Here is a 25,080-nt window from a genome sequence, read left to right on the forward strand (position 1 = left end):
TCCTCTGACAGCTGGCCATAGACACAAGCTGCTTTGGGAAACCTGATGGAGAGACCCGCCTTTCTGGCAGAGCCATCCTCACTCTTTCATCACTGCACTCAAAGATATTACTGATGTTGGTCCTCTGGTTTTGCTGCTTTTTTCCTCTGACTGGACTAACTGAGTCTACTCTGCTCACTAGCTGCCACTTCAGAATCCTGTCACGCAGCGGAAGGCCAAAGGACATTTTCCCCTAAGTCCTTTTAACTTCCTGGCATTCCGTTTTTCAACCCCACATTAAAGGTGCTGATGTTTCATCCTAGTCCTACCAGCCAATGGGTGGCCTCAAGTTAGACTAGGCAGGGCTTCTATCGGCTCTTTCCCTGTTGGGCACAGGGAGAAGGAACCCAGAGAAATGTTTCCTCAAGCTCATTTTCTAATTTTTCCTTGGATGCTATCACTGAAGTTCTGAGATCATGTATTAAGAAACAGACACATTGGAAACTAACATACAACAGATGTCAACCTAGGGCCAGGACTGGCCAGCAAGACTGATTTTTTGCAAGTTCTCAAAAATAATTTTTTTCTTTTTGCTTGCCTTTTTTCCCCTGTGCCCTTGTCCAATGCCCAGTCATCTTATAATCCATTAAAGCTGGTATACCAATTCTGTTTCCTTCCCAAGACAAGACCTGCCAACTTGAAAAATAAAAATGAACCTCCCCTCTTTTTGGCATGTTCCTCCAAGCCTCAACTAACCCCGGGCAGAAACTAGTGGATGTATGCCCAGTTGAAGCCTGAGGTTAGAGTCATAATTTTTACCTCCTTTAGCGAACAATTCCCTGGTATGTTCCTGAATTGTCATTCTTAGTATATTGCTAGACCAGGCATTAGCAAACCCAGCAGACTGGCATTCTCTGCAGTTTGGTAGAACAAGCCTGCTGTCATACGGAAGCTGAAATCCGAGACACCTCTGTACCTAGAAGAATCTCTCTCTCTCTCTCTCTGTTTTTTTTTTTTTTTTTTTTTTTTCTCTCTCTCTGTTTTACTCTGTCCCCAGGGGTAAAGTATTTTCTGCAAACATGAAATTAGTTTATATTTTAAGGGCTTTGGATTTACTAATTTTGACTAAGTTAAAAAGGGCAGAGCAGTCTCCTAGTACTCTCCTGAGTGACTCAATCTGTGATTCTTGGGAAGGGTTTAATGGACATATTTTATTTTCGTTCAGGGTGACCTCACTGATCATTGTGCAAAATGCCTTTTCTTTTTTTTCCTCCTTAAAACAAAATAACTGCAATTTTCTAGGCATTTCCTAGAGAAGGAAACTGTATTTTTTTTTTTACTTATCTTTAAGGCCACTGTTCAGGAATTTTTTTTTTTAATTCTATTTAAAGTGTAGGTGAAGGTGATTATATCTTTCCAAAGTCAGTAAAACAAATGTGTTGCATAAGTCATTTCAATTCAATTAAGAGAAACAGGTCAGATGCTAAAATATTAGTAAAATCAATTATGAGTAATAGGTCTCCTGTATAACATGTATCACTACAACCGCCTCTCTCATAATATTTGAATAAATTTACATTTGTTTCGTATCTCTGTGTGCCTGTAATATACAGGGGCGTCACTTGACCATAAAACCTTCTCTATTTCCTTCTCTTTGTTACATTTTCTCTGGTGTGCCTTGGAAATGACATGTAGACTAACCCTTTAGAGTGAAGGTTTTTCTAAGGAGAGAAAGCCCGGTGACAAATTAAAAAGAGCTCTGGAGTCAGATCCAGCTTTGAATCTTGTCCTGTCGCTTGTCAGTTGGGCAGGGAACTTCATCCTTGGGAGCCTTGATTTCCTCACCTGTGAGGGTAATAGTACCTTTCCACGGGGTTGTTCTACGATTCAAATACAACAACTTGCTGTAACATGCCCACCAGATTGCCAGGCACGTCTGGCATTCATTAAATGAATGTCTCTTTGTGAACTCTTTTGAAAATCCTAAAAATTACTAATATATAAGAGAAAATAATAATCACAAAATCTCAATTTGATATCTGTGTGTGTGTGTGTGTGTGTGTGTGTGTGTGTGTGTGTGTGTGTTAGGATTACAGCCACAAAGTCACCTGAAAAAAAAAAAAGGTGTCAAAGGGAAAGACTTTCTTCTTACTATTTGGTAAAAGGGCACCCTCAAAATCTCAGGTAGACAGTTCATGGGAAGGCCTTATGGGACAATAAATTTCTGCTGCAACCTCAGTAGCCTTTCTTTCAGACAAACAACTGATATCTCATATGGGGAAATTATGTGAAAAAAAAAAGAATACAACATTGAGTCTATGCCATAATTGGAAAAACATGAAAATGACATACATATATGATAAAAAATGAAAAAGGAAAACTGGAAATTTTTTGGTAGGTTAGTAAAAAAATGGTCATTTTTTTTCCTTTGTAAAATCCTTTATTCTTACAGGACTTTTGAACATTTAAGTGAAAAATAGAGAATTGTGTGATTAGAAATTCATCCTTTTAGGCTGACAGGCTACAATGCCTGTCGGTTGAAAAAGATAATATCTCAGGAAGTTAAGTACAGTTTGGCTTAATGGAGTACTTTCCTCCTAATCGCACAGAGGAAATGCAAGCATTGGCATTGACTGCTGGGGAGGAGGAAGGAAGGACAATTTTGGAGCATGGGCCATCAGCTGAGGGGAGCAGACCTGGAGATAGTAGACCCTAAATCGAAATAAAAAAATTGGAGCAGCAAGGCAAATCAGTACAAATGCAACCTCTGGAAGGTTCTAGTTGTGTAGGAAAGAGCATTAAGGTTGATTCTTTTGGAGTGTTTCTGTGTATTTTTGAGGAAAAGAGGCATTCATAGGGCGCATTGATGAGAAAGTCCCAAGAAAAGCATTCAAGGGTTTGGAATGCAGTTCACGGACAATCTGGCTTATAAAGACATGGCTTCTGTGTCGGTTCTATGACCCTTTGTGGGGAGGGGGCAGCATGGCACAGGAGAAAGAACAAGGTCTTCAGGGCTTGACAGAATAAGGTTCAAGCCCATCTCTGCCACCCACTAGCCATGTGTGCTGGGCAAATGGCTTAATATCTAAAACTCAGTTTTCTCAAGAAATAGGATACTTAATATTTATAGTAATCATAAGGTTTAAATGAGATTATACACACGCACATGCAGACAGACACTGACATGCTTACATACATATAGCTGCCTGGAGCATAGTAAGCTCTCAAATAACGCACCTTTTCTCAATGCAGGGAGCAGAAAAGAGAAGAACTCCCTTAAATTAATAAAGTTCTTGGCTGTGGCTCCATCCCAGTTTATGTGCTCAAGTTGAGACCAGAACAGCCTGCTCAGGGAGCTACAGGTTGAAGAGCTGTCAGGGAAAACAGAACAGCGTCAACCCACACACAGCCCCCTTTCTGCTTCCTAGAACCTGGTGGTGGATCAGCTGCCACTATCCACAGCCACCCAAGTCCTAATGCTCTCTCGTGTTTCCTCATCTTAGTGCTAGTGCACTTGGCAGAGCTGATGGCTCTGATTCCTGTATTTTGAATCCTGTAATAGCCCATGCTGACCACACTTGGGGTCAGGGGATATAGATAAAGGGGCACTGGGTGGCTTCTCTTCTCCACGGAGCCTTGAGATCGAGTGCTTCTAAGTCCTGAAGGTTTGCCTATCTTATCTGGGAAACCAGTAATAGGAAAGAATAACACCCCAGCCGGTATCTCTAACCCTCACCTTGCAACAAGTGTAAAATGAGAAGGGGAGGGAAGATTCGCCCCAAAGTCTCACGAGATGGGGCCTCCAAGGACTTATCAGGAGCTTGCTAAGCAGGTAACTCTGTACCGGGGGCTCCAGCAGCAGCCGGGGAGGAGAAGGCTGATAATGGGATTTGCGTTTACCCAGCAAAACCAACAGGGAGCAATCTTCAGTGGGTGGAGGAAGAATGTGAGCTCACGATAGCCCAGGTCCGGGGAAGCTGCTCCCTGCCAGCCTAGCTCATAAGGAAGTTGTTTATGTTTTCTGTTTGCCAAAAAACCTTTGTGCGCTGCTGAAACCTGTTTATCCTGAACTCCTAACAATCAACGCATGGCAACCAGTTCTTCAGATGACAAGTCCTTTTGTTAATGAGCAAGGAATGACTGACGAGGCCCTGCTGCCTGAAACCCCTTAGCTGCATGGAGTTCTGTGGATGGAGGTTGAGAGGGCTGCTTCGAAAATAACTCTGCTTTCTCACTCTCCATTCACCCATGTGCCCCAGCTCTTGACATGTGAGCAACCTATAAGCATGATTGTTATGAGCATGTCTCATTTGGGGGGTGCTGAATTTAGTTCCTCTAAAAAGTGCCATTGCTCCAGGAGAAGCAAATGCACCTCTATTGGACTCTTATAAAACTCAATGTGAAGAGCATTATAAAATACCTCAAATTTTGTCCACATATATACACTCACATGCATAAAACACTTTATGTCCTGTTTAATGTATGCATGCACAAACTTAGGCACACATATGTATTTGTGGTTTGGGGATCAACCGAGAGCAAGGTAAATTAGGGAACATGTGAATTGGCAGTGTTAAGCAATTTGATAAAAGTGTTGATCAAATCCCATAAGGGTGTGTGTGCTCAGGGTGGTGCTATGACGCGTCTTCAGTGTGTGTGAGACTAATGCCAGCGCATGCGTCTGCCCTCTCATCTCTCACCTTGTTGTCTGTTAAAATCTCATCTCCCACACCTGCCAGGCAACCTCCCAGTTGCACGAGGGCTGTCATTGGTTGGTGAGGATTGAGAAATTTTGATTTGTTTGTTGTTTTACTGGTATCTGTTGTGAACCAAAAGTTAGAAAATATTCCTTGAGTCCTTGTGAAGGCTCAGAAAGAAACAAGAGCCGGGAAGAGCAGCAGAGGGGTGTTTGGGGGAAGTTGTGAAGAATTCCAGGGGTCATGGGGTTTAAGAAATTCTGATCTTGGAACAGAAACAGACCCCAAACATGTCAGAACTGCATTTCAGGAAAAGAGCTTAGGAAAGAAAGTTTCTCAGGTACAAATGAACTGATTTTCCCTGAGTAATCTTGTGCGTTGCACAAATAAGAATGATCATACCTGCGTTCTGTGGTTGAGGTACATCCAGGTTCAGCTCGACTAGCTGCAAGGTTTGCTGAGTCAGGGGAAAGGCTGTAGGAAACCCCCTGGTCCTCAAAACCCCCCTTGTTCTCAGACCAGCCTCACGTCTACCTCTATAAGTAACAGGTTGAGTTCTCAGAGAAAATACATTGAAGAAGACTTGATGTACATGCTTTTACTATGATGGGCAAGATTCATATAAAAGACAATGCATTTGGGGGAAGACTTGCACAATATAGAATTGCTTCTGAAATCAATCAAACAAAAAAGCCCACAACAACACAATCGCCCCAAGCTTTCTCTCCTTTCTGTCCTAGCACAACTTATCAGAGGCAGGGGTGATATGATGATATGTATTCTTTACTAGTGAGTACAGTAGGACAGGGAGTGTATCTGTCTGGCTCAGTGTTATAGTCACAGAACCCATCACAGTGCCTGGTATACAGTAGGTGCCATTTTATTGCTCATATTTGTTGAATCAATCAATCACTCATACAAGGGAGAGCACCCAGCCCCAGTCTTCATTAAGTGCTTGTCCACTAATTGAGGCAAAGAAATCATACCTGGTCCATTGAAATTTGGGGGCCCTATTTTTACCACAGAAACACAGGAGCAAAGGGTGAACTCTGTACTGAGTTTTGAAGGCAGCAAGGTCTGAGGAAGCAACTGCGCAAAAGGCAGAACGTGACAGTGAGAATTCCTCTTGGAGAACATCCTATCCATAGACTCCCCCGGAGGGACTGCCTGCAGAACTGTCATTGGCCAATTTCAATGCGTGTTACAGATTCATAGCACAGTGGATGATGAGCTATATTAATCAGGAAGGAAGGAAGAAAGAGTAAAGAAAAAATACACACACACACGCACATACACACATACAGACAGAGAGAGAGAGAGAGAGAGAGAGAGAGAGAGAAAGAGGGAGAGAGAGAGAAACCTAAAACTGTGAGCTTCTTCTCAGCCTGGTCTTCATTAAGAACTTCAAACCTGGCGATGGGCAGATTTGCCCTGTGGTGGGAAGGAGGCCTCAGTTCATCCAGTTCTTGATAACAGTTGCTAAGCCCAAGTTTGGGCAGGACTGTTCCAGAGGCTGGGCCTGGCTATGTCAGGGTGTTGCTGTGGGTATGGGGGAAAAATAGAGAGGCAGCTAGGGATAAGAGGTGCTCAAGAAGTCTGCTGTACTCTTGGCAAGCCAAACTCTGGTTCTTAAAACTAAGAAGTCATAGAGAAGTGAATGGGGCTTGTAACCGAGGGCAATTTTTAATTATCAGTTAGGAATAGACTACTACAGGCCACAGATAAGGTGTTAAACAGATGTTCTTTTAATAGTTATCCATATCTTTCTTTTCTTGGCCAGTAACACTTAGCTTGGCTGGTTTTCTTCTCCTGTGTTGCTGGAGGTGGGGCAGAGGTGACTGGGGACTCTAAGAATCTGACAGTAACACCATCCTCAGAAACAGTGATGGAGTAATGCTTGGGTACCAGCATTCAAGACTCAATCAACTTTGGCCAAGGCCAAGGGCAACCTCTGCTACATTGCTCTCTGCTCTGACCCCTGCCTACCCACACAGCCCCTACAGATACATGTAGCAGGTGGTGACACAGATCCCATACACGCACATCTTGAAGCCCGTCCTTTGTGTTCAGTATTGCACCCCAGGCACCTGGCACACAGCAGTGCCCCAAAAATGTGTCAAATGTTGGATGACTGGATTAAAATATTAGGAGGCAGGATACCTACTTTATGTTATAGTTGCCCCTACCAAATTTCAACTCACTATAAAATATGTGAACACAACTTAAAAAAAAAGTATTTATTCTCCAGGAGCTTTATAAGAGGCAGGATACATAGGTAACATGTTCTTTATACTTTGATGACAAAAAGAAAAATGAATGTATTTTCTCATTTCAGGATAGGAGAAAGTCATCCTTCTTTTGAGTTTTACCTCTTAAAGATAATCCCCTTCTCACTCTCCAAATGTCACTTTCCAACATTTCTATGTTATGGGAATAGGTGATTTCTTTGTAACTTTTCCTGCCTTGCCATTTCTCCAAATCTTGCTAATCTGCTGGGTTTGAAGCTCATGCATTTGTTTTTCCCATCTGCCTTAACACCTCCTTGCTGACACATGCCCAAAGGTGCTCAGCATAAAAAGGGAGTGGTCTTCACAAACATAAACTAGGTGTTCCCTGTTCAAATGCAAACTTGACAGGTATTCTCACAGGGAATACTGGCACCTTTCCCTCAACAGCTGTACAAAAGGTTAAAACTTGTTCCTGGCAAACACAGTTACACTAATGCATCCTACATGGATTGTCCCTTCTTGTGCTTCACTAAGCTCTAATTGCAATCATGTTGGACATCAACTGCTTACTGTAATGTTTCATAATGTAAAGTGCACTCCAGGATTCAGTGGTGCTTTCTTCGAGTTAAAGCATGATCGTGGTAACGAAATGACTACAAAAATTGACACACATTCTTCAATGGATCATCTTTCTTTGGAGACAAAGACAAGTTGTGACTCCTCCTATTATTGAGGATTGAATTTAGTTTTATGCACTGTCAGCAGCCACCTCAGCTGCATTTGAACAATTTGGGGACAAACTATCTTGGGGCTACAAATATGGCAACCCATAGTCACAGATGATGTATCATGATGATGCCTTTTACGTCAGTTCATAATCATCAGGGCTGAGGAAATTTTGTTTTGCTTTGTTTCCTAAAATCTTTTAAAATTTTATTGCATAAGAATATCATAACATATAAGTCAACTGAGAAATTTAGTAGTAATCCTGTAACACTAAACACATTAGCTGCTTCCCTCCTTCCCCTCATCTCATAGCATTGAAATCTGTCTGCATACAAGCGGGAGTTCTGCCTACAAGTTGGTCCCCACATTTTCTGTATTGCCACTTTATCATAATGAGTCATAATGTATTATCACACAAGGATCATCCATCTTGACCACTTCACTGTGGCTCAGGAGCTGTGAGGTCCACCAAACCACTCAAGATTTCAGGGCTTTATGCTTTTAAGATCCAGAACCACAGGCATTGTTTGAGGCACTTTCTGCAGAAGGTGTACCGCATCTTTGCCTGCTTTTGCAGGCCTCAATGGACAGACAGCCGTAGTTCACTAGGCTGATTCTCTCTGTTCATTTATTCAGGTTTCCAAGAGCTCCATCCACCTTCTCTGACGTCTTCCCCAGTCATTCCTGCCCCTAAGATTCTTCCTGTCCCTTCAACTCCTGAAGGTCCCACGGTCAGCATCTCTCACTATCTCCTTTTGTAGCTAAAGTATAGATGCTTCGTTACCCTAACCAAACTCTGTTGCTTTAGAGTGAGGAATCTACTTTAGACTTCTTTGGAGTCCCAGGATATCTGGTGCACAGTAAGTATTAATGCATATTTACAGATGGATCTGAATAATATTTTTGAGATAACCATCAAATGGAAAGTAAGTGAAAATAACATAGAAAATGTGAAAGGGAAAAAGACCTCATGGTATTAGCTCAAATAAGGACAGGGACCACATCTCATCCCTTAAGTGACTTAATCTCTCTGTGCTTCAGTTTCCACATCCAAAAAATTGAAATCATAATAGAACCTACTTCATAGGCCGTCATGAGGATCAAATGAGTTCTTATGTGTTAAGTGGTTAGAACAGTGTCTGGCATGCAGCAAATGGTACGTATTTTTAAATGAAAATAAAAATTAAGTAACATGGTAATGTCCAAATCTAGGGTAGTACCTGCCACAGAGTAGCTGCTCAATAAAGGCTGAACTCAATTACTGTCTGTTTTGTGACACTTGCACCAGCATGGACCTGGGAGGGAGCAGCAGCTGGGACCAAGGGGCTGGCTGGTGACAGTATCTTCCAGGAGAAGTGTTTGGGAAAGCAGTAAGCTCCACACTCCAGTTCAAAGGCTCTGGAAGTTACCAGGTTCTGCCACAAACTCGTTTGGCTGGAGTGCTCCCAGGTCTGGGATGTGTGGCTTTTCGGGTTAGTCCAAGGCACAGTTGCCGGGCACCCTGGCGCTGATGGCTGCTGGGGAGAGGGGGACAGCCCGGAGCTCCGCCTCCCACTAGCAGCTCAGAGCCGGCACGGAAAGTTACTGCATGTGAACGTGGCAGGAATGATGGAAAGCCCAGGGCTGCCAAGTGCTGCAATCCCGGGCTGCGTTTCTTATGCTCACAGGCACCAGCTCTTCAGGGAGTCTAGTCTATACACGCTTCCTGCGCATAACTGTATTCTTTCAGCAGTTACTATGCTTTGGCGTAGAGGGAGGAGACAAAAGTTTGAGGGAGTGGCAGTGAGGCATGAGCCAAGATCCCATACACAATGTCTTCCTTGCCCTAAGATGTTCCTAAGAAGAACTTATAATTTCACCCACTGTATTGTGTATCTCTGAACTTTCATCGAATATATATATATATATTTTTTAAGAAAATACCTCTTTATCAAGTTCAGCCCACCAGAGGCTTCCATTTGTCTATTTGCCCATCCATTTTTTAACAAACATCTCCTAAGCATCAATTATCTGTCAGCTACCCAACTAGGCCCTGGAAACCCAGAGAAGCTCATAGTCCACTGCGGAGCCAGAGAGTAAATTGTTGCTATATAACATGAAGGGCTATAACCGGGGCACACACAGAGAGCTACCTGGCAGAGAATTATTTCTGCCAGGTGGGGACAGCAGCCTGCACAGGCTTGCAGGGGTGCCTTGTTAGAGCTGGGCTTTGAAGAATGACTCCAGTGGGGAGGTCACCAGGTGAACAAGTGGCCTAATTAGGCTATGATGTACATTTATCATCTTTGTCCCACACCTGCTTTTTAAGCGAGGCTTTAAAAATACAAAAACAGATTGTGGGTTGGGGAACAGTATTGTATCAATGTTACATTCCCTGATTATGATCATTGTACTGTGGTCATGGAAGAGAAAGACTATGTTCCTAGGAAATCTACACTGAAAAAGAGTAAAGGGTGGGGGCCGGGCGCAGTAACTCACACCTGTAATCCCAGCACTTTGGGAGGGCGAGGCAAGCAGATCACCTGAGGTCAGGAGTTCGAGACCAGCCTGGCCAATACGGTGAAAACTCATCTCTACTAAAAATACAAAAATTAGCCGGGCGTGGTGGCAGGCACCTGTAATCCCAGCTACTCAGGAGGCTGAGGCAGGAGAATTGCTTGAATCCGGGAGGCGGAGGTCGTGGTGAGCCAAGGTTGCACCGTTGCACTCCAGCCTGGGCAACAGGAGTGAAACTGTGACTCAAAAAAAAGGAAAGCGGAATGTTCCCTCCATGTAGTACCCATAGTATGTGTATACTCCCTCTATAATAGTATATATAACAGTATTTATACATGGGGATGAGAATGATAAGCAAGTAGAGCACAAGGTTAATAATTAGTGAATCTGGATAAAGGGTGGGTGGGAGTTAGTTATGCTACACTTGCAACTTTTCTATAAGTTTGAAATTATACTAACACAAAATGTTAACAAAAATGTATAAAATACAAAAGATACTAAATCAGCTTCTAAAATACCAAGATGCAGGCTGGGCGTGATGGCTAACACCTGTAATCCCAGCACTTTGGGAGGCTGAGGTGGGCAGATTGCTTGAGCTCGGGAATTTGAGACCAGCCTGGGGAACATGTGAAACCCCGTCTTTACTAAAAATACAAAAATTAGCTGGGCATGGTGATGTGTGCCTGTAGTCCCAGCTACTCAGGAGGCTGAGATAGGAGAACCACCTGAGCCTGGGAGGTGGAGGTTGCAGTGAGGCGGAGGTTTCAGGGAGACAAGACTGCATCACTGCACTCCAGCCTGGGTGATGAGCCAGACCCGGTCTCAAACAAACAGAAAGAAATACAATACCAAGATACCAATGCCTTTTATTACCATCATTCTGAAAAGGATCAGCAATTTTAAAACATAATTTTAAAACAATTATTTTTTGAGGTGCAGTCTCGCTGTGTCACCCAGGCTGGGGTGCAGTGGCAAAATCTTGGCTCACGGCCACCTCCACCTCCTGGGCTCAGGTGATTCTTCCATCTCAGCCACCTGAGTAGCTGGGAGTACAGGCATGCACCACCACACCTGGCTAATTTTTGTATTTTTAGTAGAGATGGGGTTTCACCATATTGGCCAGGCTGGTCTCGAACTCCTGACCTCAGGTGATCCACCCGCCTCAGTCTCCCAAAGTGCTGGGATTACAGGCATGAGCCACTATGCCCGGCCATGTCATAATCTTTGATTGCAAGGTTGCAGCTACCCAGTGAGACCCTGGAAACCCTGAGGAATGCCGTGTCTTCCCTGTGTCTTGCCTCACTTATTCACTCCCTTCTTTTTTTCCCTGAAACCTTGAAATTTACAGTGTAAAAGAGCCAGGATAGCAGTGAAGCCCACCACAGGTGTGCTCTGCAAAGTCCCTGAAAGAGGAGGGCCCAAAAGATGTTGCTTGCCTCTCTGCAGTGTAGGGACCCCCAGGAATCTGGAGAGGGGTCAGTCTAAAATATTTAAAATTCTTTAGTAATGCCCAGGAGGGGGCAGTCAGCTTAGCAAGGATTTGGGATCTATCAGCAACTACAATTCTATTGCACTTGCTTATGATACATTTTTAAAAGCAGAAAGCAAAAATTAAAAATAATAACAGCAGCAGCTAATATTTACCCAGGGCTGATATACCCTAGGCACTTGTCTAACTACTTAACATGGACATCTCATTGATTCCCCCATGAAAGCACCATGAGGTAGGTACTGCTAATGTTCCCATTTAACAGACAAGGGAACTAAGGCCCAGCTAGTCAATGGTGGAATTGGATATAAGCACAAGTGGCCTGGCTCCAGAGCCAGGCTGTTGCCCATAACATTATGTTGCTGTGGGCTCTGGTTACCGCTTTATGTGAATATGGACAAAGGATACAGAGGGGGATGAAAGCAGTATGATTAGTTGGGGTGGCAGGACCCCAGTAAGTTTACTTTTATTTTGATGTTCAGTGTTATTTAGGTATTAAATAATTTTTTAAAATCAAAACTATTGGTTGATCATTTTTGACCCAGGAGACGCAGTTTGAGATATGTGTGCCTAACATAGAATCTTTATCACTAAATAAGTTATAGCTTCTCTGTGACTTGTTTTCTGTATCTGAAATATGAGATGATAGTTGCCAACATTTTCCCACTAAAATTCTTGCTCGAAGGTTGGAATTCTGTGTATGGTATGTGGAGGACATGGAGCAGGTGGAGAGTAGGGGGTGGGAAAGGGTGGGGAGGCCTATGGTGGGGTGACTGCAGAAATACTCTATAGGACAATTACTCACTGGTGGAATCAAACATTATGCATGAGGCCAGGCTGTGCTTTCTATTTATAAGGTATTGTTCAACATTGGAAAGAAACATCAGATCTGAATTAGGGTTTTTATTTTTTCCACCTTTCCTTCCTTCTTTTTTTCTCTACATCCCTCTCTTCTTCCCTTCCTGTCTTCCTTCTTTCTTTTCCTGGACCACTGGAAGCAATGTTTGGTCATAGTTATATATTTTATCTGATAGAAGAGACTAGCAGAGACTTAGACCATAGAGAGTCAAGAGGCCTAAAGACCTTAGCATATCTTCCTTTGAATCCAGGGACACGACCCGCTGATATAAGTTAACCTCATTACCACATGTATGGAAGAGGTCCTCTTCCATTTGCTGCATATATATATATATATATATATATATTTGCTGTATGTGTGTGTATATATATATATAGTATATATATATTTGCTGTATATATATATATTTGCTGCACATATATATTATATATACACACACACACAAACACACACAATTATTCATTGGAAATGTATCTACAAAAGGTAAATTGTTTGAGGTAAATAAAGGGACATGCTACTATGGCTACAAACTATGTTGGTTAGTTGGTATTTTCTTCCTGGTCACCTTTCAGGCAATTTGGATAGAAAGCACAGCTTTCATTTCTGTGTAACATCCATCTGTGTTCAAAGATGCTTTTGAGAGGGCCAAGGGAACAATGATTTAATGCTGTCAAGTGCTTTGAGATCTCAGACAAAGAAGCTCTGTAAATACTGAGCATTAGCAACCCCAGTATCATTCCCCTCAGTATTATCAAGGCTTTGGAAAAATTAACCAAGAAATGGGCCCTGGCATATTGAGAGCAGCAATCGTTTCTGGAAAGCTTTAAAGACCCTCTACATTGGGAAATGTAGGGCTTAGTGAAAACACTTGCCCAAGAACTACTTTTCTTCGTTTGCAAATTCAAACCACCAAAGACTAAAACCCGCTACAATGTGGAAAAGAAATAATTAGATTAAAGCTTTTCAACCAAGCTCCAATGGAGAGAGGGCAAGGGATTGTGGGTGTGCATGTACTTAAGAGACACAGACATACAGAAAGACACAGACCGGGCTTCAGAAAAACAACAACAACAACAGAAAAAAGGCTTTTGTCCATGTTTAGATTTACCACAAAAACAAATCTTTTTTTTTGTTTTGTTAAGTAAAAAACTTATTCATTATGTTTGGTGAGGTTGTAGGGCAACAGGCACTCACATACATTATTGGTGGCCACATAAACTGGCAAAGTCTCCATGAAGGACCACTTTGCAACGTCCATTAATATTACAAATGCATTTACCATTGTCCTACTATTCCGCATCTAGGAATTTATCCTGTACCTCTATTTGCATATGTACAAAATGGTTCATGTTTGAGGATATTCACTGTAGCTTTGTTTGTATTTGCAAAGCCTGAAAACAAATTAAAAATTTATTAGGGGATTAAATAACGTCTGGTGTATCATTAAAATGGAATATCATACAGTTGTTAAAAAGAACAAGGAAATTGTGTACGAAATTGCTATGGAATTATCTCTAAAGATGTGGCGTGAATTGAAAAAATCAAGATGCAGACAGTGTGTACAAACAGATATATTTGAATATGTATGTTTGAATTCATCATGCTAACATATTTATAGAATGGATTTTCGGAAGGCTGCATAAGAAATTGGTAACTGTGGCTAAGGCATAAGGCTTACACCTCTAACTTTACATCCTTTCGTACCTTTTGAATATTGTATCATGTACCTATGTGTCCTATTCAGAAAACAAAATAATGCTAATGGTGTATGAAACCACTGATTAAACAACAAAGTGAAAATATGAGCTTTGTAACATTTTCTAGGGATGGGGGTCGACAAGTTGTGTCTTCAGAGCTCCCACGTTCTTCCTTCCTCAGCAGGGACAGGCTTCTCAGCACGCTGCTGCCTCAGGGAGCCCAAAGGGACACCAGGAATGCTCAGCCTGTGTTAGCTCACGACTATTTCCCTGCCTCTAACTTCTCTAGTTCCCCACAGTTCAACCCAGGGTGGGTAGCCTGGTGTCTGTTTGAGCTCAACCTCCCCAAACCAGGAAGCCCACAAGCTGCACCAGTCACTGTCAAACAGCTAGCTGAGCATACAGGGAATTCCCCTCTTGGAACTGACAGGGAAAATGATCCCTAGGGATTAGGGCCTCCACTGGGCTGTGTCAAACATATTTCATAGTTCCTGCAACTCTGACCAGGGATCGTTTTGAAATTCGGGTTTTGTTGTTGTTGTTGTCGTTGTTGTTGTTGTTGCAAGGAACAAAGACTCACCAAACTAAAGGGTGATTCTTGCAAGAATGCACATGGAGTAATATGAGTAGCCGCGTTCTCATGGAATTTAATAAGAATTATAAAACAACAACCTCAAAAATATCATTGATGAACTACTTAGCTGCCCAGCATGGTGCTCAGTGCTTTGCGTGGATTGTCTCCTGTCAACCCCATCATAAACCCATGAGGCTGTCGCTGTTATTACCCCCATTTGATAGGACATTTGGGCTTGTAGAGGTCACTGTCACCAGAGTGGGTGGGCCGCACAGAAACAGGATCGGGAAAATCTGCTGCTCTCTTGCTGTCCCTCTCGTGGGCAGAACAGTTTCTCTGCCTTAAGGTTACTGCCTTTCCCTGGATGTTTGCCTCTCAGTTCTGATAGTAACTGACTCACTCACTCACTCACCACCATTGGGCTCATTCATAGACTTTGCTTACTTATAACAGCACCTTCTACAGAGGGATTCACGACCTTCTCCACCTCAAATCTCTGTGCTTCAGCTGCTGCCTACCTGCCTCCTCCTGTTCAGATTTCCCCAAGAGAGGACTTGAGAGATCACCCTTCTGTTGGAGGCCAGCCACTTCACTGGTCACCTCCTGACCTTTGGCTTGGGCATCCCACCTCGGGTTCCCATTTTGATTCATTCCTCTGTGGCTGAAGGGTAACAGTCCTCATGGGCTTCATCTTTTCCTTCACTCGTCAGATATTCTTGGAGAACTGACTTTAAGCCAGACATTGGGTTGTGGGTGGTGGGGGGAGGGTACACAGTGATCAGCAGAGCAAAGAACTTGCTCTCAGTGGCTCTTACCTTCTGGCTCCTTCACCTGCAGGTGTGGGTGTGGCAGACATTCTGGCCTGTCCAGTTCGAAGACAATGACCCATGATTGACCACGGCACTCTTGCCTCAGTCTCTAAGTCACTGTCTCCTGGGGCCCCCTCATTCATGCCTTTTCCTGGTTACCCATCTGCCTCCAGAAACTGGGGCTGTGCTTTGCCCCAGTGTACTATGGAGTCCAAGGTGATCAGACAGATGGCTCCAACAGCTGGGTGGAGAATGATGGGGAGGAGTATGGGGGATAATGCTCAGAGGCCCTGTGAATCTGCTGCCATGGGCAGTGGAATCCCAGCCACAAAGAATGAGGTACTTACAATTCTCCCATAATTGTTGACTAAATTCCAAAGCTGGGCTCCTCTCTTTTCTTTTCTTTCTTCCCTTTTTTCAATACCAAATAGTTTGAAAAAATTCCAGGCTTTGTCAAATGCCCTTTCCTAGGCTCAAATTAACCTTTTCCAAGCGTCTTTCACATTCTTCAAACTCTTATTAATCCCTCAAAACCCAGCTCCAGGCATTGCCCTCCTCAGTGATTTCTTCTCTAAATTTGAGATAATCATGCCTTCATATGGACTACTTTTGTACTTGGCATACATTTTTATTGTTACCCTTATCATACTGAGTTGCAAATATTTGTTTAGATGTGTGTCTCCTCTCCTGGAGTATAAGCTTATAGAGAGCAGGGAACATGTCTTAATTATTTATTTATTTTTTAATTTAAATAAACTATTTTAGGATAGTTTTAGAGCTACAGAAATTTGTAAAAATAGTACAGATAATGCCTGTATACTTTATTATCTGGTTAACGTATTGCTTTACTATGGTGTGTTTGTTACAACTAAGGAATCAACATTGGTATGTTACTGATTATTTCGCTAGTTTTTACCTGGTGTCCTCTTCCTGTTGCAGGATCCCATCCGATCTCACATTATGTTTAGCTGTCATGTCTCTTTTGCCTCCTCTGGTCTGTGACAGTTTCTCGAACTTTCCTTGTTTTTGATGATCTTGCCAGTTTTGAGGAGTACTGGTCAGCAGTGTTGTAGAATATCCCTTAATGGGTTTGTGTGATGTTTTTCTCATGGTTAGACTGGGGTTTGTTTATTTTATGTATTTATTCTTTTGGAGATGGGGTCTTGCTTTGTCACCCAGGCTGCAGCGCTGTGGCACTGTCATAAATCGCTGCTGCCTCAAACTCCTGGGCTCAAGGGATCCTCCTGCCTCAGCCTCTGAAGTAGCTAGGACCATAGGTATGTTTACTGCACCCAGCTAATTTTTACATTTTTTTAAATACAGACAGGGTCTTGCCATCTTGCCAGGCTTGGTTATTTTTAAACACCAGCACTGAATTAAATACCCAGCAGGTACCACCTAGCACAGACCAGGCATTTAATTAATGTTTATTGAACTGAATAGAATTCAAGTATTTCTTCAGCATCTTCCACATAAATAGAAGCCTGACTGATGCCCTTGGAGAGGTGAAGAAAGGAACTCAAGTCCCGTAAAGATCTTCCACACAGCTGAATAATAAAAGACGGTATGCACCCAAATGTCAAGTAAGGAGAACCCAGAGAATGACCTATTGCAGCTCAAGAGATGAATTAATCAGAATGAGCAGGTGAAGTCAGCATCTGTGTGAAAGAGGTGTCTGGAAAGGGGGTGGGTTTAGAGAGGCCCGTTTTAGTTCTCAAGCACAAGGAGCTTTTCCCTGAGCTAGGATCTGCTCACATGCTGAGCCTGAAGTCCACAGGTATTTCTACCCCTCTTCTCTCATGGCTGGCAGGCTTCTCATTCTTGAGGCCTTGGCTTAAATGTGACCTCTGCAGACCTACACTATCTAAGATAGGCTCCACCTGCCACTCTGTCTCACAGCACTCCGATTGTTTTCTTCATAGCTTTTCGATGTTTATAAGGATTGACTGTTTATTCTTTTTTTTTTTTTTTTTTGAAACAGAGTCTTGCTCTGTTGCCAGGCTGGAGTGCAGTGGTGTGATCTCGGCTCACTGCAACCTCCGCCTCCTGGGTTCAAGCGATTCTCCTGCCTCAGTCTCCCAAGTAGCTGGGATTATAGGCATGCACCACCACGCCCAGCTAATTTTTGCATTTTTAGTAGATACGAGGTTTTGCCATGTTGGCCAGGATGACTGTTTATTCTTTATTGTCTGTCTTTCTCATTAGAGTCTAAGCTCCTTGAGGGCAAGTACTGCGTTTTGTTATTCACTCTGGCAGAGCACATAGTGGTTCTCAAATTGTCTTGCTGTATCAATGAATGGGCTGATGTTAGCTGAGACTGAGAAGGCATGAGACAGTGACAAGAAGATATGTGAGGAGTTGCTGTAAGAGGCCCTGAAATGGAGCAAGAGTGAACTGGGTAGGCAGATGGGATGCTGCCAGGTCATCAGACTGATCACAATGGTGTCAGGTCATACCAAATGGGGTGGCATAATTTGGGCAAAGGCCAGCAATGTACTAGGTGTGGGCTGCACAGATGTACGGGTCATCCAGTGATTTTCCATCTTGGAAAGGCCAGCCAGCATTCACAGGACAAAGATGGGGGGATTAGGAATAACTGAGGTCAAGGGAGGGGCAAGGGCTATAGGAGCGTCTACATAAATCAACACTGAGAATGTATTCCATGAATGAAAGTAACACAAAAGCTGTTGGCAGGCAAGGGTGGAACCCAGCCTAACTTCCATGGTGTTGTCACAAGCCCAAGAAGAAAAAGGGAACTCTGGTGAATACTTCTGAATGACAAAGATAAAATGGAAGACCTATGATTTGGCTATTGGGCTATAAAAATGGACAGCCATCACATGAGGAAACCTAGAAAAATGAGATAATGAGCTTCAGGGCTCAGAATGGAAAGAACCCCATAGAAATCTTTGATCTTTTCCACCATGAGTTCTACACTGATGCAAAGGACAGAATCAGAATATACATTCCCTGATTTGGAAAGTATATATTTTCCCATCCAAGTTCATTGTGAACTGCTGACCAAAAGGGCAGTGTTTTATACAGATTCTGTCTAGAACTAGCCCAGTGGGAAAAGCCTCGGAAAGCATATGGCAAAGAAACTCAGACTCCAGAGTATGATTTAGTAACAGAAAGAGTGGTGTGTCTTGTCTTTGTATGCCCGTATAAATAATCACGATGGCTGAACTCTGCTATTTTTCATCCAACCTAAGTAACAGCTTTGAAAAAGGAAGATAACAATGACCTGTGTGTACAGCGTCCAAGGGAACCATTAGCAGTGGAGCTCCCCAGGCTCCTGGGACGACCAAGCACATGGTCCAACCAACCATCTTCTGACAAGGTAGGGGTGGGCAGTGGAAGGCAAAAAGAATGGCTGCACTTGTGTTTCTGAAGGTCAGACCAAGAAACCAAGGAGCGTGTCTTTGTTATTTCAAATCTATAGCCTTTGAAGTCCCAGCAGGTAAGTGGGTGAGTCTCATATACAGCTCAGGAACTCCTTTCTCCTCTGTACCTCCTTAGAGATATAGGGCTAAGACAGCCCAGGTGTTAGCCTGTCCAAGCCCTTCATTTGCAAAGGAGGAAACTGATGGGCAGAGGACAACACAAACTGCCCAAAGTCACACTGGTAGATGGCATTTGGGCCAGGATGAGACTTTCTTTTTTTTTTTTTTTTTGAGACGGAGTCTCGCTCTGTCACCAAGCTGGAGTACAGTGGCACAATCTCGGCTCACTGCAACCTCCTCCACCTCCTGGGTTCAAGCGATTCTCCTGCCTCAGCCTCCCGAGTAGCTGGGATTACAGGCACCCACCACCACACCCAGCTAATTTTTGTATTTTTAGTAGAGACGGGGTTTTACCATGTTGGCCAGGATGGTCTCTATCTCCTGACCTCAGGTGATCCACCCGCCTCGGCCTCCCAAAGTTTGGGATTACAGGCGTGAGCCATTGCACCCGGCCAGCAGCATGAGACTTTCTAACCCAGCTTTCTTTTCCCAATCTTAAGCAGCCCATCTGGGGCTATGTGACTGACCGCTAAAACTGCCTCTGATTCCACATTTTGATTTTTGCTCCCATAAGCACTGTTCACAGTTTTCCCCCTCATATTACTTCTGTAACAACCTTGAGGTGGTCAAGGAAAAGAAAAAACACCATCCACATTCCTAGGCATTTTAAGGAAATGCACACCAGGTATCTGACCCAGACTCCTACTTCCCTGCCAATCTCCAGCTCATATCAATTCATTTCCCTAACAGAAAATAGGTGTCAACTTTGTAGGTGGAAAGTAATTTCCCTGCAAATATTACCGGAGAGGTTGCTGACACTACTTGACAGTTTTATTATTACTTTTGTTTTGCAGTAAGGTGGGGGAACTCTACCTTTGCCAGGTAGAATACTGAAAAAAAAAATGTAGAGCTTTTAACTTTGTATTAGTTTTAACATCGGAGGGGAAAACAAGAAACAAAGAATATGTGTGCTGTCCGCATGCCCAGTACGGCTAAGGGCAACCTCACAGGCTCCTGGCTTACCTCACTTCTCACCCGCGAACTTTCAGATCCTGGAGCTTCAGTGTGGGTTAGAGGGAATTACTCCGCAGCATCTGAAAAGCCAGCTCACAGGTGGGCCGCTGGGGCGATTTGGCAGGGCCTGCTTGTAAACACTGGCTATCAACTCCTTTACAAGGTAAGCCAACCAGGGGCAAGTTAACTCGCTTTACTCTTCTCCGGGTTTAATAGAAGGTGGGTATACTTTTATAAGAACCCAATAATCTAAATATTTCACACGTAGACAAGAAAACTAGAAAGCCCCAAGAGAACCGAAAGAGTATTTTATTAATAACTATTTATGTGTAGTAGCTACTTAAATTCATGTTTCACTACCTATTTTTTTTTTTTTTAGACGGAGTCTCACTCTGTTGTCCAGGCTGGAGTGCAGTGGCGCATCCTGGCTCACTGCAAGCTCCACCTCCCGGATTCACGCCATTCTCCTGCCTCAGCCTCCCAAGTAGCTGGGACTACAGGAACCTGCCACTACACCCAGGTAATTTTTTTCTATTTTTAGTAGAGACGGGGGTTTCACCGTGTTAGCCAGGATGGTCTCGATCTCCTGACCTCGTGATCTGCCCGCCTCGGCCTCCCAAAGTGCTGGGATTACATGCATGAGCCACTGCGCCCGGCCTCACTACCTATGTATTTTCTAAAGGGTCAGATAGACTTAGGTGTAGGTTGGCCCGAGAAAATGCAGGGTTCCCAGTTAAATTTGAATTTCAAATACACAATGAATAATTTTTTAGTATATTCCAAATAATGATAGGGCATACTTTTATTCATTGTTCATCGACACTGAGTCCATTAACCAGCTGGTTTATTTATTTATTATTATTTTTCCCCTTGCTTCATTCTTTTCTGACCTTCTGTGGCTTAATTTTAGGACTCCTATTAGAGGGTGGAGGGAGAAATACAACTCACACGCATCGGGTGTCCTACTTATCATTAGCTGAGGCACAAGTTTTGGGAGGGGAGGGATTTGCTACTTTGAGCTAAAAATGGTGATTATCTGCATTCTCTCTATTACCATATGGACAGAATTAGCCATAGACTGATATTTTCCAGAGACTGGATTTTGCAGGCCAGTAAAATCCAAAAAGAAAAGAAAAGAAAAGGAAATTGGGAAATTGTGAGAAGATCAATATACTGTTGCCAAGTTTAAATTTGATCAAAAAAGGGTGTTTAAAAAAACCCCACAGCTACCATCTTCAATTACCATTAATTCATAAAAGAAAGCAACATTTCAATACCCCAAAAGTAGGAAGGACACTCTCTTCTTTATTTCTTAAATAAAGTTGGCAGCTTTACAATGGATTGCCCTCATTTTTGTGGAAACTTCATCACAATCTGGTGCTGGCTCTGAGATCTGAGAATATGCAGACCAGGTCATGCCACAGCAGCACCTATAAAGTGACAGCAGCAATGCTGCACTTTTCACAGGTTTGTGTTGGTAGCAGATAACCACAGAGCACCTTGCAGTAAAGGAAGGAGAAGGTGAACGTGTGCCAGTTCGAATTCTGATGATCTTAAATTAATATTTAATTTAAGCATTTTATTTCTGAGATGTATATTATTTGTGTGGAAGCATAGTGTGATTTTTCTCAAACCACAAAGCATTTCTTTAACTTATAATATATAGAAAACGTTTTTCCAAACTTCCTTTGGAGCACAGCTCAATCTCTGAACTTTTCTTCCCTATCTCTATAAAATGAATGCTTCAGGAACTGGATAATGTGACGCTGAACTTAAATAGCCCCCTTCCTAAGAGAGTTCAGAGGTCTTTGAAAATACAGGTAATTGAGCCTCCTGGTTCCTGAGAGCTGGCAGAATGTGTGACCTCAGCTGAGAAGAGTTGGGTATTTGCCAAAAGGCAGGTGTAGTTGGTAGCAGTGCTCAGAGACCAAGTCCCCAAGTTCAGATTTTCTATCCCTCTTCCCATTGTATACAAGGGAAAACTATGGTGTGAAAGTGGATGATTGCCTGAAATTGCTGAGTAATTAAAAGGAACCATGATGAAAATAAACTGCCCAGCCCAAATATCATATGTAGTTTCTTTTATCTTCCTCCAACCTGAGAAATGTATATAAAGGTATTTTTACCAGGGAAATCCTTCTTTAAATAGGGTTGAAACTCAATTTCATATGCTGCAGAGAGATGCAAGGTATTATGTACCAATGATCCCTAAATATTCTTTTCTTCTTCACATGGCTGTGAAGTTACAAACTGAGTATCCTTTTCAACGGCTTGTTGAAGCAAAGAATTAAATATACATGTACAGACTAAAATATATGTTAGTATATTCTTTAGAAATATGAAGAATACCCCCAGCTTTTCACAGTGATAATCTCTGGGTGGGGTCTTTTTAATATTATGTTTTTCTGTAATGATGGAGTTTTAAAATAATTGTAATTGTCTATTACTTTTAGAATACGTAAAAAAGATACACAGCATGCACATTCTCATTAAAAATCACTTCAACCTGGACTTTTGGGATGTCCTTTAAAGTCACCTAGTACTTGCACTTTCCCACAGTCCTCTGTCCAGCCTCTCTCAGTGACCTGAGACATTCAGTGCCACTTGTGTATTCCAGACATTTGTCTTTCTGAGAGAAGCAGTGCTACCACTTTTTTTTTTTTTTTCTTTTTTTTGAGCCAGAGTCTCGCTCTGTTGCCAGGCTGGAGCACTGAGACACAATCTCGGCTCACTGCAACCTCCCCCTCCCGGGTTCAAGCGATTCTCCTGCCTCAGCCTCTGGAGTAGCTGGGACTACAGGCGCCCGCCACCACGCCCGGCTAATTTTTGTGTTTTTAGTAGAGACAGGGTTTCACCATGTTGGCCAGGCTGGTCTCAATCTCTTGAGCTCGTGATCCACCTGCCTTGGCGTTCCAAAGTGCTGGGATTACAAGCTTGAGCCACCGCACCTGGCCCACTTTTTTACCTTCTCAAAACCCCAACTCTCCTGTAATTCCTGAAGCCCAGGTAATTTTCCCCCTAGCCCCATTGAATACTGGCTTGTTTTCATTTCTCTCTCTTTGTCTTTTGCCTTACTAATTCTGATGTGATTGTTTTTTCAGCCTCAACTGAATAGCAGAGAGATTTTGGCTTTCATTCCAGAATGATGTCTCACAGAAAGTCAACTCGTGTTCCAGGTATGTGATAAACATCTCACTAGTGAACTTCTTGCTGTTTCTAAGCGATTAACGGTTTGGTTAGCAAGCCCAGAGCCCTGCAGATACCTTTTGCCTCCTACACAAGAAGTAAGCTAATGAAACCCACGGAGCACGGCCTGCCCCTCTGCTTCCCTTTAATGGTTTCTGTCACCCAGGCCAGGCTGCCGCCACCATGACTCTGCACATCGATGTGCCGCCTCAGGGCAAGCAGAATGCAAATGACGGTGGCCCTCAAATTGCAATTTAAGGATAGCTGTTATATCTTCCCATATATTTCTCTTCCTAACCTCCAAATTTGAGGATAATGTGCTGTTTTAACTTATTCTTAGTAGGAAGAATGTTAAACCTTAGGGTGATGGTAGTGTATTGCTGAATTCTGTGTTTTGGAATAAATTAGATTTTTTTGATGTGGAGAAGGGAGAAAGGGGGAGAACTAAATGCAAAGATAATTTGATTTTAAAAGCTGGAGTTTCCTGGTTCCTGGGTTCTAGATATTTAAAAAATAGCCACAATTAATTATGTAATAAATTGTAGGAGGTTGTCAAGTTGTCATCTTTATTAAGGTGTTTCTTGCCAGACATATTCAAAATCTGTGTACTCAGATGTTAACTGCATTTGACTCTATTGATTAAAATATACTTTCTGCCATCAAAATGGAACTCCAAGATGTAAAGGGAAAGAACACTTTAAAAGGCGTTTCCAAAGTCGTCTTGGATAGAGGAGCTTTCATCCAAGGGTGCTATGTGGCATTCCGGAAATGAATCAGAGACTTGGGCCCTCCACTTCCTTAGAAACAGAGACACGCTGAAGATCGTTAGGGTAAATGAGTGGGACAAAGTACACTCTGCATTTTCTTTTTAATTTCAACTAAAAAAAATGCTGCACTCTTGTCTTGGCTGGAGAAACATCCTCAGCCTGTTCATCTCCTATCCTCTGCCCAAATCAACTCCAAATTTGACTGACTGAATTTTCAGTTCCTATATTTTCAGATCAGTTCCTGTATTTTCAGATCTGGCTCTCTCTGTGGTTGTGGTGGTAGCAGTGGTAGTGGTTATGGAGTCTGTAAGACTTGCCATTTTTAAAATGCCGAAAGCTCTCTTCAGGTTAAATAGTCTCTCTGTGTGATTCTCAAATGAACTCCTTGAGGAAGAATGTTCTGTGTGTATCTAGAAACCTTAGTTCTACAAGAATGAGAGCTAAAGAAGCTCACCCATGTCCCACAGAAACCACTTCTTCCCTTTCCTGAACAAGAAACCGATGTTCTTCATCTACTGTCTGTCCACCCAGGCTTGGAAGACAGGTGAAAACAATCCCATCTTTCTATTCCTAGAAAGAGGTAGGGATGTGATGCTTACATTCCCCTGGCTTTTACTTGCATCAAATGTGGGAGGAAGGAATAAAAGAGAAGAGGAAACTAAAACCTGAGAAAGGGCAAGAAGAGAAAGTATTAGGTTGATGCAAAAGTAATTGTGGTTTTTGCAATTACTTTTAATAGCGAATCCCCGCCCCCCAAAATCATCTAGCAATCTGCCCTCTGGAGTGAACTTGAATAAAAGTAGGTAATAGTACCACTCTTGGCTTAGAAGTATCTGATTATCCCTACTAACCAGTACAAGACATAGATTTCTGAAGGAAAAGGATGCCTACCATTGGCTCTTTTTTGTTTTTGTAGTTTGATTTTTCTTATTTTTTAAAAGGTTCTAAAAATAATACATATATACCTGGTAGAAAATTTGAAACTTAGAAAGAAGTTAAAAGAAGCCTACAAAATATCACCGCATCATATTATCTTATTAGCCAAATGCAACCACC

At 42.7% G+C, this 25,080-nt stretch overlaps 1 protein-coding gene and 2 long non-coding RNA genes across 10 annotated transcripts in view, besides 3 other annotated features; 2 read left to right on the forward strand and 1 right to left on the reverse strand.

Annotated features, from left to right (window-relative positions):
- Positions 1–18,962, forward strand: part of RORA-AS1 (RORA antisense RNA 1) — a 151,462-nt gene extending 132,500 nt beyond the window's left edge. For both annotated transcript variants that reach the window (NR_120342.1, NR_120341.1), the window contains one exon: positions 18,767–18,962. This is a non-coding gene — a long non-coding RNA (RORA antisense RNA 1). The remainder of the gene's footprint in view (positions 1–18,766) is intronic.
- The window catches only part of RORA (RAR related orphan receptor A), a 741,019-nt gene that overhangs the window by 123,394 nt on the left and 592,545 nt on the right, over positions 1–25,080 (reverse strand). The window contains exons 1-2 of one of the 5 annotated variants that reach the window (NM_002943.4): positions 15,561–15,853; positions 3,217–3,350 (exon numbers count right to left, since the gene is read on the reverse strand). The exons of 3 other annotated variants lie outside the window; for them this stretch is intronic. In NM_002943.4, the coding sequence (NP_002934.1) occupies positions 3,217–3,350; positions 15,561–15,697 (271 nt within the window). In that variant the 5' untranslated portion in view covers positions 15,698–15,853. Of the gene's footprint in view, positions 1–3,216; positions 3,351–15,560; positions 15,854–25,080 lie in introns of those variants that run through there. One more of the 5 variants, NM_134260.3, reaches the window with a different exon arrangement.
- Positions 8,624–9,124: an enhancer, noted in NCBI's record as "H3K4me1 hESC enhancer chr15:60912500-60913000 (GRCh37/hg19 assembly coordinates)". NCBI's record gives its function as "activates a minimal SCP1, AML or CMV promoter by ChIP-STARR-seq in naive H9 embryonic stem cells {active_cell/tissue: H9 hESC(naive)}" and the evidence as "EXISTENCE:reporter gene assay evidence [ECO:0000049][PMID:30033119]".
- Positions 20,474–25,080, forward strand: part of LOC105370846 (uncharacterized) — a 30,635-nt gene continuing 26,028 nt past the window's right edge. Inside the window, exons 1-2 of one of the 3 annotated variants that reach the window (XR_007064663.1) lie at positions 20,474–20,591; positions 23,173–23,247. This is a non-coding gene — a long non-coding RNA (uncharacterized LOC105370846). Of the gene's footprint in view, positions 20,592–23,113; positions 23,248–25,080 lie in introns of those variants that run through there. The other 2 variants (XR_007064665.1, XR_007064664.1) reach the window with 2 other exon arrangements.
- Positions 23,173–23,986: an enhancer, noted in NCBI's record as "H3K4me1 hESC enhancer chr15:60927049-60927862 (GRCh37/hg19 assembly coordinates)". NCBI's record gives its function as "activates a minimal SCP1, AML or CMV promoter by ChIP-STARR-seq in primed H9 embryonic stem cells {active_cell/tissue: H9 hESC(primed)}" and the evidence as "EXISTENCE:reporter gene assay evidence [ECO:0000049][PMID:30033119]".
- Positions 23,202–23,251: an enhancer, noted in NCBI's record as "active region_9511". NCBI's record gives its function as "activates an Ori minimal core promoter by ATAC-STARR-seq in GM12878 lymphoblastoid cells {active_cell/tissue: GM12878}" and the evidence as "EXISTENCE:reporter gene assay evidence [ECO:0000049][PMID:35858748]".

Source organism: Homo sapiens, chromosome 15 (genome assembly GCF_000001405.40).
Source record: "Homo sapiens chromosome 15, GRCh38.p14 Primary Assembly".
NCBI lineage: Eukaryota > Metazoa > Chordata > Mammalia > Primates > Hominidae > Homo > Homo sapiens.